Source organism: Homo sapiens, chromosome 9, assembly GCF_000001405.40.
Source record: "Homo sapiens chromosome 9, GRCh38.p14 Primary Assembly".
Classification (NCBI taxonomy): Eukaryota; Metazoa; Chordata; class Mammalia; order Primates; family Hominidae; genus Homo; species Homo sapiens.
Genome location: NC_000009.12, coordinates 33,201,841 through 33,203,152, shown reverse-complemented (window position 1 = coordinate 33,203,152; position 1,312 = coordinate 33,201,841). Strand labels below are relative to the sequence as shown.

General features: G+C 51.6%; 1 annotated feature.

The window, feature by feature from the left end:
• Positions 787-836: an enhancer, noted in NCBI's record as "active region_28286". NCBI's record gives its function as "activates an Ori minimal core promoter by ATAC-STARR-seq in GM12878 lymphoblastoid cells {active_cell/tissue: GM12878}" and the evidence as "EXISTENCE:reporter gene assay evidence [ECO:0000049][PMID:35858748]".

Sequence of the window (1,312 nt, the reverse complement as noted above, 5' to 3'; positions counted from 1 at the left end):
CCCCACAGCTCTGGTGTAAATCTGGGCCATTTCCTTCTCCAGTTTCCCCCATGTGATTCGCCTTTGGCTAATCTCACTACCGTGGGGAGCTGGGAAAACTTCCCTGCACAATAAATCTTTGATTGGGAAGGTGGTTTTATCATTTGAGAGGAAAGAAAGTTGAAGAAGGAGAGGACGTAAGTGACTAGTGTGTTCAGGGAGTGATGTAAGGGATGTGAAAAGGCAGGGAGGGGTTCCCAGCTGAGCACAAGGTGACAAGAAACGGATAAACCTGGGACTGCAGGGCGGGGTTGAGGAGGTGCCAAGGGGAAGAATCCCAGAGGCACATCAGGAAAGCTAGCCAGGGGCCTGAGTGCAGAAAAGGGCGAAAGAGCTTTCAGATAGAAGAGAAACCAACACACATACTGTGGTTCCCTTTCCTCCCCAGAGGACAAACTGTGGTCTGCTTTGACGTCAGCTATGCAGATGTGCTGAGGCTGTTCGGCATGTTGGTTCCAGGCCTGGGATGCAGCCGGCAGCACCAGAGGCGGGGAGGGAGGGGACACTAGGGGCAGCCTCTCGCTGAAGGATGCCCAGAGGCACCCCAGTGTGGAGCAGCCCAACGGGAAGGACTTAACAGCATCTACTCTGGCTGAGCCTAAATCATCCTCCAGCCTCCTTTATTCCAGGTTCCCACTATCCCCTTGTTTCTGAGACAGCATCAGCATTTCCAGGGCTATGAAGGCCACAGCCACCAGATGGGCTGCAACACTGAATGACATTGGATATCCCAGGCCACCCTTGCTCTGTCTGCCCTGGTCCTAAAAGTAGAGAAAAGCCAGGAAAACCCTCCATGGAGCCCACAGCCTTCACTGTCTCCTGATCACCATGTCATGCTGCTCAAAGTGGTTGACAGTACTTGCTCCCTCTACTTTCTCGATTCTCATTCTCCCAGCAGTCTCTAGTCTAGCTTCTGCCCTGCCCCTTCTACTGAAACTGCTCTTGCTAATGTCATCAACAGTCTAGGGCCAAATCCAGGGGCCACTTCTCAGGCCTTACTTTTTCTATCAGCTATTGCCTGTTGATTATACTCTTTTTTTTTTTGGAGACAAAGTCTAGCTCTGTTGCTCAGGCTGGTATGCAGTGGTGTGATCACGGCTCACTGCAGCCTTGTCCTCTTGGGCTCAAGCGATCCCGCCTCAGCCTCCTGAGTAGCTGGGACTATAGGCATGTGCCAGCATGCCTTTCTAATTTTTTTTTTTTTTCTAGTAGAGATGGGGTTTTGCCGTGTTGCCTAGTCTGGTCTTGAACTCTTGGACTCAAGCAATCCACC